Source organism: Homo sapiens, chromosome 21, assembly GCF_000001405.40.
Source record: "Homo sapiens chromosome 21, GRCh38.p14 Primary Assembly".
Classification (NCBI taxonomy): domain Eukaryota; kingdom Metazoa; phylum Chordata; class Mammalia; order Primates; family Hominidae; genus Homo; species Homo sapiens.
Window position 1 is genome coordinate 46471162 of NC_000021.9, and position 13909 is coordinate 46485070.

The window sequence follows — 13909 nt, forward strand, 5'->3', positions numbered from 1 at the left end:
TAGTTAGGATTTCAGGTGCACTCTACCGTGCCTACTTTTAAAGTTTTTTTTTAGATTCAGAGTCTCACCACGTTGCCCAGGCTAGTCTTGAACTCCTGGTTTCAAGCGATCTTCCTGCCTTGGCCTCCCAAAGTCCTGGGTTTACAGGCATGAGCCACTGTGCCTGGCCTTATTTGTTTTTGTTTTTTAAGAGCAGTCTTAGGTTCACAGCAAAATTGAGAGAAAGGTACGGAACTATCCCATATTCCCCCACCCTTATACGTGTACAGCCTCCCGCATTATCAGCATCCCAGTAAATCTTTTAAAACTAATTTTTGCTGTGCAGTGAGCTTGCTTCTGGGTAGAATTAACATAATCCTTGTGGCTCAATCTTTACACCTTTAAATTAGCTGACATTTTCAGTATTGCACTGGTCTATTAAAAAGACTAGGAAGTTATACACTGCTTAGCAAAGAAAACTATTGTCAGTGAAGACACAACACTTAAAAATAGCTGTTACTTCTATTGTGTATTGATAGATTATCACTTAGACTAATGTACCCAAGGGTCTCCCTTCCCTTTTCACACAGGAAATGCATGGCCTCTGTTCTTAGGATTTCCTGGGTTCTTGAAGGCAGCAGCTAAAATTATAGCTGGGAGACAGTGATCATGCGGGGGTTTCCTTTCAGACTTTGAATTAATCAGCTATAAGGAAAGAATAGAAATCCTGTGTCTTCTTTCTACACTGAACTGTTCATAATTTAAGAGTACCATTTTGGAAATAGCAGACAAAGAGCTTTTACACTCTTTCAGATTTTAGAACTTTTTCTGCAGTATCTTTAGTAAAGAACCTTTAAATTAAGTCTCTGAAACAAAAGGACACAATTGTTGGTATGCTGAAGCCCTAACCCCAATGGATTATATTTGAAGACTGGACCTTAAGGAGATATTTAAGATCAAATGAGGTCAAGGGGGTGGGCCCTCATCCAATAGGACTGGTGTCCTTATAAGAAGAGGAGGAGACACCAGGGATATTTGTGCATAGAAAGGCCATGTGAAGACATAGGCAGCTGTCTGCAAGCCAAGGAGAGAGGCTTCACCAGAAATGAACCCTCTGGCACCTTGATCTTGAGCTTTCAGTCTCCAGAACTGTGAGAAAATAAATGTCTGTTGTTTAAGTCGCCCACTCTGGTATTCTGTTACGGCAGCCTGAACAGACGGACACTCAGTGTGTCATCCTGTTGTTTAACAACATTCAACAGACTGAGTGCCAGGAGGCTTACAGTCTAGCAGGGGCTGAAAGACATGTAAACAGTGGCAATATCATGAAATGTGTACAGAACCCAGTCAGCCCAAGGGGAGGGATCATCAGCACTGCGCAAGCTGGGCCAATAGAGGAAGTACAGTTTCCTTGAGCTTTGTTTTGAAAGCATGTGTGAAGAGGGTGGAGAAGGAGGAGCGGGGATGGACATGAAGACAAAGGGAGGTGAACCGAAGTTGAGTGGGCCAAGGAATTCCAGGCAGTGTTCCACAGGTAGAGGAGGAAAGGCAGGGGCTAACTTACAGCAGGGCTCACACATCCTAGTAAGGAATTTGGACTTGATTCTCTGGAGTCTAGACAAGCTGGTTGAAACAAACTCAAATTCCTCCCTGTAGCTGGTTGGGTGTTGTGGATGTGTGAGGTGACCAAGAGTAAGGCAGGAGGGGTGCTGGTACCTGTTGCCTCTAGAATGGCACTGTTTAGAACTTTCTGCTACGATGGGAAAGTTCTGTGGTGTCCAGCATGGTGGCCACCAGCCACATGTGGCTACTGAACACTTGAAATGTGGGTAGTGGGACGAGGGAACTGATTGTTCAATTTAATTTACTTTTAATTAATTAAAATTTAACCATGCATGGCTAATGGCTGCTGTACTGGACAACAGCAAAGTGTATGCTCTGCATGAAGGCTTCCTATTAACAAGAAATACCATGAAAATACATTTTATTCCTACCACTGCTCTCGACAAAGGAGAGAAAATGAGCAAGATGAAAATATGTGTACACATTCAAGAACTCAGTGAATCTTGTAAACAGATGTCAATTTCCTATTTTTAATTAAAGGCTATGGGGCAGGAGTTTGAGACTACCCTGGGCAACATAGGGAGACCCTGTCTCTACAAAGAAAAAAAAATTAGCAAGGTGTGTTGGTGCATGCCTGTAATCCCAACTATTTGATAGGCCGATGTGGGAGGATTGCTTGAGATTGAGGCTGCAGTGAACCGTGATTATGCCACTGCACTCCAGCCTGGGTGCCACAGTGAGACCATGTCTCAGGGAAAAAAAAAGGGGGGGGGGCCATGGCGGTGGTTTTTCTTGGGTGCTTTATTTATTTTTTATTTTATTTTATTTTGGAGACAGAGTCTTGCTCTGTTACCCAGGCTGGAGTGCAGTGGCGCAATCCCAGCTCACTGCAACCTCCGCCTCCTGGGTTCAAGAAATTCTCCTGCCTCAGCCTCCCAAATAGTTGGGATTACAGGCGTGTGCCACCACGCCCGGCTAATTTTTGTATTTTTAGTAAAGATGGGGTTTCACCATGTTGGCCAGGCTGGTCTCGAACTCCCGACTTCAAGTGATCCACCCACTTCGGCCTCCCAAAGTGCTGGAATTATAGGCGTGAACCACTGCGCCTGGCCAGGTGCTTTACTTTAAACAGGTCTTCTTTAATAAATGATGGAGCCAGCAGTACCCCCACACAGCCCCACCTTTTTAAAAAATGTATTAACAAAACATTTCTGCATAATCTCTTTTGTCTCTTTCTGTCTCCCTCTTTGATTTAGAAAGATTGTTCTGCAGTATGTGAAAAGTAGATTGGAGGAGTCTGAAATTGGGGGACAGAAAAGTTAGCTTGAAAAACCCATTGCAGTAATCCAGGGCAAGAGATTTTGCTGGTCTGGACAGAGCTGAGCCAATAGGATGGAGAGGGCAATCAGAAGTAGAGCCAGCAGGCTTCTGTGTGAAGTGCACAGTAAAGGAGGGTCTAGGGTGACTCTGGAGTTTCTGAAACACCTGTCTGGGAGATGATGGTGCTGCTCACGAAGACGTGGAACACAAAAGGAGTGTGAGGCTGCTCTAGGAGATCTGAGTGGTGGGACCCAGAGTGCATTTGGATATATGAGTCTAGTACTTTCTAGAAAGGGCTAGGCTAGTAATTTGGAAGTCATCAGCACATAGATAGTAATTGGAGTGAATATGATTACCCCATAAGGAGAAATGAATAATGCAAAGAGAGCCTAGGAAAAAACTCTGAGGAACCCAAATCCATACGGGAAAGGCAGAGAAGGGAGAGACTGCAGGGAAGACTGAGGAAGGAGACAGAACATGTGTGGGCATCTGTGCAGCTGAGGCAGGGAAATGTGTGTGGAGGATTTTCTGGGTCAGTATTCATGACCAATCATCAGGCAAAGATGACTGTACTTCCTCAAATCTCATTGAAATGGTTGAAGAGGTTTTTTTGTTTTTTGGTTTTTGTTTTCCTAAAGAGGTGAGATCTCACTGTGTTGCCTAGGCTGGTCTTGAACTCTTGGGCTTGGGCTCAAGTGATCATTTAGCCTCAGCCTCCCAAGTAGCTGGAACTATAGCTGCGCACCCCCACATCCTGCTAGGTTTTCAGAATTGAAAAGGAATTCATAGTCTAGGTTCTGGGAAATTGGAACGGTGGATCAGAGCAGTGAGGATTATCTGATTAGGGAAGATAGGGATGGAGCAGGTCTGCAGCAGATGTACAGTGCATCCTCTGAACAAAGTTGTGGAGGAGGATGGGAGGTGGTAATGAGGAAAGGATATGGTTTTCATCGGTTTTCCAGAGTCTGCTGATGTATTCCTGTAGAAGGTACCACCAGTTGTTTGGGGAAGTGGGCACTCAGCAGCCCTATGTCTGCCTCAACCAGAGACTCTTCTCCACTTAACACTCTTCCTAACTGTTCAGTTGAACAGAAGATGTGCAGCTGAAAGGTTGGAAAAACATTGAAGTGGATAATATCTAAGTTCTCCTTTCAGTTGCAAGGCTAGTCTAAGTTTTCTAATCATGAATGTTTAGTAAGAATTATTTCACCATGTGGCTTTAGCTCACCAAGTGATATTTAAAAACATTCTTCCATTAAATACCTGCTATTTTAAAAGGTTTATTACCTATTTATACACAAACTTGTTAGCCAAGAGCTATATTTTTATGGAAGAGTCTTGTTACCTTTCACTGACATTGTTATCTACCTGTATGTCCTGAATGCATGTTCAGGGTCTTAACTTCTGTTAGAAGGAATAATTTAAACAAGCTCATGAGTACTGTAGAAAATATGGCAGACATTCATATTGAGCAAGTACTCTCTGGTCCTTGGAAAGTGCAGTATAGTCAGCCACAGGCTTCAGTTTGAAAGTCTTTTAAGAGTTAGAAACTTCTGAATATGGAAGACTGCTTCTTGTTTGATTTTTCTCTAATTGTGAAATATTTCAAACATACCAAAAACTTGTGTGAGTCATGATATATGTACCCACGTACCTACCACCCAATTTTTAAAAAATGAAGATTTGGACACATTAGATTCATATTTGAACCATTATAGAGAGAGATGACTCCCATTCACTCTCTGATTCCATTTGTCATCTTCCCAACTTCTCTCCTGAATTTGGTATTTTATCATTTAATTGCATTTCCATATATCCTGAAACAATCGATAGTGTTTTTGCATATTTTAAAACTATGTAAATCATCTTTATAAATCCTTCTGAAACTTGCTTTTTACCTCAATATTATGTTTTAAAAATTATGATGATTGGCTGGGCGCAGTGGCTCACGCCTGTAATCCCAGCACTTCGGGAGGCCAAGGCGGGTGGATCACGAGGTCAGGAGATTGAGACCATCCTGGCTAACATGGTGAAACCCCATCTCTACTAAAAATACAAAAAAAAAAAAAAAAATTAGCCAGGCATGGTGGTGGGCACCTGTAGTCCCAGCTACTCGGGAGGCTGAGGCAGAATGGTGTGAACCCGGGAGGCGGAGCTTGCAGTGAGCTGAGATCACACCACTGCACTCCAGCCTAGGGGACTGATCAAGACTCCGTCTCAAAAAAAAAAAAAATTATGATGATTATGTTAATACATGTAGCTCTGGCTCAATCTGACTAACTGCCGTGTGGTATTATCTTATATGGTTATACCATGTTGTGGTAGTTTTTTTCTCCCAAGTGTATTTTTGAAACAAATAGAGGATGAGCAATCTACAGAGTTGGCATCAGCATGACTCCACAGTCCTCTTGGAGAAGAGTGCCCGAGGAAGGCGCAGGGCACTAGCCCAGAAGCACAGATAGAGACTAGCATGGGGAAGAGCTCAGGAAAAGGAGGGAAATGGAGAGAGCCATCAGACAGGGTAGTAAGTGTAGGAGTCAATGTGTGCTCAATATAGAGGAAGCAGATCTAGGGTGTTCAAGGCAGATTTGGGATGAATCTCACGTCTTCTAGTCATAGCATCACTCTATTTTTTTTTTTTTTTTTTGGAGACAGAGTCTCACTCTATTGCCCAGGCTGGAGTGGTGGAGTGGTACAATCTTGGCTCACTGCAACCTCCACGTCCTGGGTTCAAGTGATTCTCCAGTCTCAGCCTCCCCAGTAGCGAGATTACAGGTGTGTGCCACCATGCCAGGTTAATTTCTGTATTTTTTATTAGAGATGGGGTTTCACCATGTTGGCCACCATGGTCTCAAACTCCTGACCTCAAATGATCTGCCTGCCTTGGCCTTCCAAAGTGCTGAGATTACAGGCGTGAGCCACTGCAGCCAGCTCGTAGCATCGCTCTTAATCTGGAAGTTGACGTACCCCTGCTAGGCCGTGGATATGTAAAAAGGATCATTTAATTTCTCTGTGCATCTGTCTTCAAGTTTTACACTGGTCAGGTATGGATCACTCCTCGTTTTCTTGCCTCCTCCTGCTCTTCCTCTGTGTGGGCACCTCCAGTAGGACCGGTCCGATTGTTTGGGTAAATCTAGCAACATTGACTTAAGCTTACTCCTCCCATGGTAAGTCAAGGAAGCACGTGCCCTTTTTCCTAATAGAATATCAAAACTAAAGATTTATACGTATATATTTTTATCCAGGCGTGGTGGCTCACGTCTGTAATCCCAGCACTTTGGGAGGCTGAGGCAGGCAGATCAAGACCAGCCTGGTCAACATGGTGAAACCTTGTCTCTACTAAAAATACAAAAATTAACGGGGCGTGGTGGCAGGCGCCTGTAATCCCAGCTACTTGGGAGGCTGAGACAGGAGAATTGCTTGAACCCAGGAGGGTCAGGTTGCAGTGAGCTGAGATTGCGCCACTGCACTCCAGCCTGGGTGACAGGGTGAGACTCCGCCTAAAATAAAAAAAAAGATTTGTGTGTGTGTGTGTGTGTGTGTGTATTTCTTTTTTTTTTTTTTTCTTGAGTCAGAGTCTTGTCCTGTCGCCCAGGCTGGAGTACAGTGCCACTATCTCGGCTCACTGCAACCTCCGCCTCCCTGGTTCAAGTGATTCTCCTGCCTCAGCCTCCTGAGTAGCTGGGATTACAGGAACGCACCATCACACCCAGCTAATTTTTTTGTTTTGTTTTTTTTTTGGTAGAGGCAGGGTTTTGCCATGTTGGCCAGGCTGGTCACGAATTCCTGACCTCAGGTGATCCACCTGCCTTGGCCTCCCAAAGTGTTGGGATACAGGCGTGAGCCACCACGCCCGGCCATCTTTCACATTTAGATGCGTAATTCACCTGGAATTTAATTTCATGCGTGGTGTGAGGGAAGAGTGATTTCATTTCTATTGCAGTTGGGTAATCAGTTGACTCAGAACATTTGGAAGAGGCTATCCTTCCCCTGCTGCTTCGGACTGATTTCTGCTGTGTTGTTCTACTTGCTTATCTTAGCACCTGCTCCATTCTGTCTTCATATCTGGTAAAGTCTGCCCTTTTAATTTTATTTTGTTTTTCAAGCTTGATTTAGCTAATCTTGGCCCTTTGTATTTCCCTATATACTTTGGAATCAGCTTGTCAATTTCTATGCAAGAAACTTTCAAGAATTTTTTTTTTTTTTGAGAGGGAGTTTCGCTCTTGTTGCCCAGGCTGGAGTGCAATGGCGCGATCCCGGCTCACAGCAACCTCCGCCTCCTGGGTTCAAGCCATTCTCCTGCCTCAGCCTCCCGAGTAGCTGGGATTACAGGCATGTGCCACCATGCTTGGCTAATTTTGTATTTTTAGTAGAGATAGGGTTTCTCCATGTTGGTCAGGCTGGTCTCGAACTCCGGACCTCAGGTGATCTGCCTGCCTCGGCCTCCCAAAGTGCTGGGATTACAGGCGTGAGCCACCACGCCTGGCAAAACTTTCAAGAATTACTCAGGCTGACTCTTGTGATCCACTTGGAGAGAAATTACACTTCACAGTATTGAGTCTTCAGATTCATGAATGTGGTATATCCTTTCATTTCTTTAGGTCTTTAATTTATCTCAGTAATGTTTTTATAATGTTGTTAGTTTCTGGGTAGTGGTCTTGCACACCTTTCATTAAATTTATTCCTGGATTTGAGATACAGTATTTTTCAGTCCTAGAATTTATGTTTTTTTTTTTAAATTCACAATCCTGCTTTTTAATTCCCTAAACATATTGATTATGGTTATTCTAAAGTTCCATTTTCTATAGCTTTCTATTATTGTTTCTCATGGATTTTAGTCATAGTTTCTTGCTGCCATATGTGCCTAATTACTTCTGATCAAATGCCAGACATTGTCTATATAGTGATCATTTGTGACCACAAAGGGCTTACTTTTGCATCTGGTAGGTAGATAGGTTGGGAATAGATGCAGTCCAAGATCACTTTAATCTATATAGAGAGAAAGTGATTTGAAACTGGCTCCAGTCCTTATGAGTGCTGCTCTATTTTTAGTTCATACCCAAGGTGTGGTCCTTCTGAGTCCCAACAAACAACCTGGGATGCTTTCCAGGGCACCTCGTCCGTGATGAGCTCCTGCCTCTCTGAGTCTGTCCAAGTTCCACTCAGTTCAGCTACTTGGTGATTACTTTTTGACTTCACTTGGCCCTCAGTTCTTCACTTCTGTAATGTCTTCAGATTTAAAGAAAAACTTTAATGTGATCTTTTTAGTTGTTCCCATTGGAAGAGTTGGTCTGAGTGCTATAATTTTGTCAGTGCCATAAATGGAGTTCCTATGTGTGTGTATGTATTCAGTTTAATGAACATATTTTTCATATTTTATTAAAAACTGAGATAAAATATTTACTACACATTTAAAAAGCCCGCTTTTAATTACAAATGAATGAGACAGTGGACATTCAAACACTGCTGTGGAAGCATATCTATACTCTTCAGCGTTAAGCATAATAATTTGCTTATTTTTTTTTAAGGTCTCATTCTGCTATTCAAGCTGGAGTGCAGTGGTGCGATCATAGCTCACCGCAGCCTCGAACTCCTGGGCTCAAGCAATCTTCTCACCTCAGCCTCCCTAGTAGCTTAGGACTATAGGCATGTGCCACCACAGCCAGCTAATTGGTTTTTTTTCTTTTTTTGTAGAGACAGGGTCTCTTTATGTTGCCCAAGGTGGCTTCTAACTCTTGGGCTCAAGCAGTCCTCCCACCTTGGCCTCCCAAAGTGCTGGGATTACAGATGTGAGCCACCATGCTTGGCTGCATAAATAATTTAAATTGCAGTCAGATAGGCTCTACTTTTGTGTATTAGATCTGTATATTTAAGACCCCTGTGTTTGGAAACTTTAAGGCTTGGAAAGTGAAATCTCTACGTGCTTATATTAAGAACGACTGTTACCAGTGAATGGTGCCACCGTGCAAAATATTACTCTTCACAGATTTTCCTCACCTTTTGTTCTGTGTCACGAGCTTGGAGACTGCCTGTATTTTTTTTTTTTTTTGTGTGGCATCTGTTTTCAAGTTTTATTATGGTCAGGTATTGTATTAGTCTGTTCTCATGCTGCTAACAAACACGTAACCGAGACTTGGTAATTTATAAAGGAAAGAGGTTTAATGGACACACAGTTCCACATGGCTGGGGAGGCCTCACAATCATGGCAGAAGATGAAGAAAGCAAAGGGACGTCCTACGTGGTGGCAGGCAAGAGGGCGTGTGCAGGGGAACTGTCCTTTTATAAAACCATCAGATCTTGTGAGACTTACTATCCGGAGAACAGCATGGGGAAAAACCTGCCCCCGTGATTCAGTTACCTCCCACTGGGTCCCTCCCATGACACGTGGGGATTATTACAATTCAAAGTGAGATTTGAGTGGGGAGGACACAGAGCCAGACCATATCAGGTGTGGATCATCCCTCATTTTATTGTTTCCTCCTGCTCTGTGTCGGCACCTCCAGTAGGACCTGTCTAGTCGTGGCAGCTGTGGGCTTTCCCAGCTGCCATGGCACAGAGACCTTGCCTTGGGATCCTGGGTAAGCTTGTGTGGCCCAAGTTGGGACCTAGTGGACTCTTTGGACCCGTTCTTTGGCAGCAAGGGAAAGGCCAATACCTTTCCAAAGGAATAAACACTGGCAGCTGTGTCCAGCTCACTTGGGTCCAAGGTCTCTGGTGTGTATCTGATTTCTGGCTGGTGCCCACCTTGGAGGCGGTAAAAGTGACCTGACCAAAGGCAGACTGTACTGTACTGGATTGGAACCTGCCGGGCCCTTGGGGCTCCCAGCCATTGTGTCATGCCCTGTTGGGGTGCTTCTTCCTTAGCCACACTTGGTCCATTGTGGAGTCACCCAGCTGCTAACTGCCTGAAGTACTTCTTTGTCAGACACTCCTTTCAGACTCCGGAAAGCTGATTTGCTTGAGCCCAGAAGTTGGAGGCTGCAGTAAGCTATGCCACTGCACTCCAGCCTAGGTGGCAGAGCGAGACCCTGACTCTAAAACATAATAAAAGACCAAACAAGAAAAAGAACAGCACCATCATCCCCAAACACTCCTCATATTATCCCTTTGCAGTCTCCCGGTCCCCCAGCTGATCTATTCCCTATCCTTATGGGTTTATCTTTTCCGAAATGTCATATAAATGGAATCATATAGCATGTAACCTTTCGAGAATGGCTTTCTTCTTTCAGCGTAATGTATTTTGAAATTTATTCACACTTTTGCAAGTATCAATAGTCTGTTCCTCTTTATTGCTGAGTAGTTTTCCATAGTATGGTTACGTCACAGTCTCTTCATTCACTTGACATCTGGGTTGTTTCTAGTTTTTTGGTGATTAAGAATAAAGTGGCTATAAACAATTGTGTACAGGTTTTTATGTGAACACAAGTTTTTACTTCTCTAGGGTAGATAATCAAGTGGAATTGCTGGGTCGTCTGGTGAGTGTTTGCTTTACTGTATAAAGAACTTCCACACTGTTTTCCAGAGTGGCTATACCATTTTGCATGCCCATCAGCAATATATGAGTTTCTATTGCTTCACAGTCTTTGTCAGCACTTGACATTGTCAGTATTTTTAAAGCTTTAGCTGTTTGAATAGGCATATAGTGGTATCTCATTATGGTTTTGTGTTTCCTAACAGAAGGAAAATGATAACAGCGGAAATCAGTGAAACTGAAAGCAGAAAAAACAATAGGAAAAAATCAGTGGGGCCAGGTGCAGTGGCTCACACCTGTAATCCCAGCACTTTGGGAGGCTGAGACGGGTGGATCACTTGAGGTCAGGAGTTCTAGACCAGCCTGGCTAACATGGTGAAACCCCATCTCTACTAAAAATACAAAAATTAGCCAGGCGTGGTGGCGCATGCCTGTAATCCCAGCTATTCCAGAGGCTGAGGCAGGAGAATCACTTGAACCCAGGAGGCAGAGGTTGCAGTGAGCCAGTTGTGCCACTGCATTCCATCCTGGGTGACAGAGCAAAACTCCGTCTCAAAAAAACAAAAACAAAAACAAAAAACAGTAGAACCAATACCTGGTTCTTTGAAAAGATAATAAATTTGATAAACCTCTAACAAGACCGACAGTGAGAAAATACCAAAGACACAAATTACCAGTCAGGAATGAAAGAGGCCAATCTCTATAGACTGCACAGACATTAAAGCATGATAAGGGAGTACTATGAACAACTGTATCCATATCTGGTCATATGCCCAGTAGATGTTTCGGGCAACGATTGACCACATATATAACAGTGGCTCCATGAGATCATGATAAAGCTAAAAATTCTTACCACCTAGTGACCTTGTAGCCATTGTAACACAACACATTACTCACGTGTTTGTGGTGATGCTGGTGTAAACAAACCTGCTGTGCTGCCAGTCTTAAAAATCTAATCCATATAATTAGGTACTGTACATAATACTTGGTAATGATAAATGAATGTTACTGGTTTATGTATTTACTGTACAATTTATTGTTATTTTAGAGTATATTCCTATTATATTTTAAAAATGTTAACTGTCAAACAGCCTCAGGCAGACCCTTCGTGAGCTATTTGAGAAGGCTTTGTCATTATAGGAAGTGTCAAGCTTCCATGCATGTTATTACCCTTGTGCACTACTCATCTTTGTTCCTGTGACCTGTAGGGGTAGTTGAGTGCTTTTGAGAATGGGTTTTTAGAAATTGTGTTGCCGAGTGAAGGACTTGGTGATATTACTAGGGATTTGGCATCTGTGATCCTAAGTGAGATTCTTCTGCAGCAGTGGAGTTCAGCCAGAGCCATATTCCGTACCTCTGTGATGCAGATTAATTGCCTCTCCTACACACATGCACATTTGAAAATTACTGCCTTCTAAACCTTAAAAAGTTGTGCACAAGTTGAAATTTAATAAGTGAAATTGTACAGTTATATCCTGAACCTGATGAGGATTGTCACTGCAGCACTGAGCATGTTGGTGTGGGTGGTGGCTGGCTGTGGACCTGGGAGTGTGCAGTGATGGAGTGAGGGGGTGAACAAGGATGATGTACTTCCAAGGGGTACCCGGGTCAGTGCAGTGAATCAGGTGTGCTCATTGCATTGAGGAAGGGTTGGTTTTAAAAATGGAAGGCTTAGGGAAGAAAATAGTGATTTATAATATGATGCCATTCGGGTCAATTAAAAGTACACAGACACAAAGCAACATGCATTCTGCAGAATATATTCTAAAAGACACTATAAAAAAGTTTCTAAAAGACACTATAGAAAGAAGCTATAAGAAAATATGTCTAAAAGACACTAAATGCAAAAAAAAAAAAAGTCTGAAGAGATGGAACACAGTGGGGACACAGGGAATAAATAAATGGAAGGACAGGCAGATAAGCATGAGAGGCTTGGGAGGAGCCAAGTGAGCTCTTAAAGCAGAGGCTCTGTGCAGAGGGCAGGGCTTGGGCGCAGTGCAGGGTGGAGTAGGTGGGGAGGTTGTGGTAGGCTGGTGTGGACCAGAGCAGCTGCTTGGCCCACAGGCCGTGGCTCAGGCTCTTCTTCTGTAGGATGGCATATTAATGCCTACCCAGAGGCTTCCACTGAGGCTTAACTTAGATGTCAGATATTCAACGGTGTCAGTCTGTTCACACAACAAATCCTACAATAAAAAATACATCTAAAGGAAATACTCAATTATGTACTCAATAAATGACATCAGCCTGTGTCTTCTGATTCACAGCAGCCTTACTGCTTTGCTTGCTTGTTTTGAGAGAAGGGAGATCTTACAAAACACTAAAAACTCTACCATGTTCACCCAGAGGACAAGCTAATCATGAGAATTGTAATATGTATTTCTGGTCTAAATAAAGTCTTCACATCACACATCCCCTGTTAGAACTTCCAGGTATGTGTAGGAAACCAAATAGTGTGCTTACATTAAGAAGTGTTTTCATGATGGTGCATTTCCTACCTCATTCCTAGGTGGTTTAATTTGTTTTCAGGCTGTTTTTCCTTATGATAATTTACTGGAACAGCCGTCCTTTTTCCTCCTTTCCCAAGGACACCCCTTGGCCTGGGACGGCTTGTGTCCCATGGGTCCCTTATTGCAATACTTGTGAAACTTGAACCTGCACAGGAGTTACTGGAGGATCTTGATAAAGTGCGGATTTGGATTCTGTCAGTTTGGGATATGGCCTTAGAGTTTGCATTTTTGGCAAGCTCCCAGGGGATGGTGATCACAATTTTTAAAATTTGAAGTGTTATTTACACACAGTAAAATTCACCCTTACTCTTCTACAGTGGTACAGATTTTTGACAAACGCATATGCTCATGTAACCACCACTACACTCCCAACGTAGAACAGTTTCACCACCCTCAAAATTCTCTTGTCTTTTCCTCACTCCCAGCCCCTGGCAACCACTAGCTGTATCTGACGCTATGGTTGTATCTTTTCCAGAATGTCATAAAAGTTGAGTATTCAGTAGCCTTTTGAGTCTGGCTTCTTTCACTCAGCAGCATGCATGTGAGATCTATCCAAATTGCTGTGTGTATCAGTAGTTTGTTCCTTTTTTATTGCTGAGTGGTATTCCATTTTATGGGTCCATTATAGTTTATTTGTCCAGACACTTCATGGAAGGACATCAGTGTTTCCAGTTTTTCAATCATAAATTGATGTTTAATTTTAAAATTTTGGAATTGTAGAAGAAATGCAATTCTTTTTTCCATTGTTGTTTTAGGTGACATCACTCAAAAAGGATATGAAAAGAAAAGGGCAAAGCTGCTTGCACGTTATATACCGCTTATTCAAGGTAAGGTCAATACACTCAGGTGTTACATAGCAATTATATTGTTTCATAACATGTGATTTTTAAATTGTTTTTAGAGTTTAACATTTGTTAGCAATGTTAAACCAACTTTAAACACTGGTATATGTTGATTATTGATTGAGACAGGGTCTCGCTGTGTTGCCCAGGCTGGTCTTGAAAAATATGCCTCTAATATTAAATAATAAAATCCAAAGGCATAGATTATAATTTAAAGCTCTGGCTTG

General features: G+C 42.8%; 1 protein-coding gene across 30 annotated transcripts in view; it reads left to right on the forward strand.

Annotated features, from left to right (window-relative positions):
* The window catches only part of DIP2A (disco interacting protein 2 homolog A), a 124981-nt gene that overhangs the window by 12271 nt on the left and 98801 nt on the right, over nucleotides 1–13909 (forward strand). For all 30 annotated transcript variants that reach the window (XR_007067786.1, XR_007067785.1, XR_007067784.1 and 27 more), the window contains exon 2: nucleotides 13596–13667. Coding sequence is in view for 27 of the 30 variants with exons in the window: in NM_001353943.2 (NP_001340872.1) it covers nucleotides 13596–13667 (72 nt within the window). In the remaining 3 variants the exon portion in view is untranslated. The remainder of the gene's footprint in view (nucleotides 1–13595; nucleotides 13668–13909) is intronic.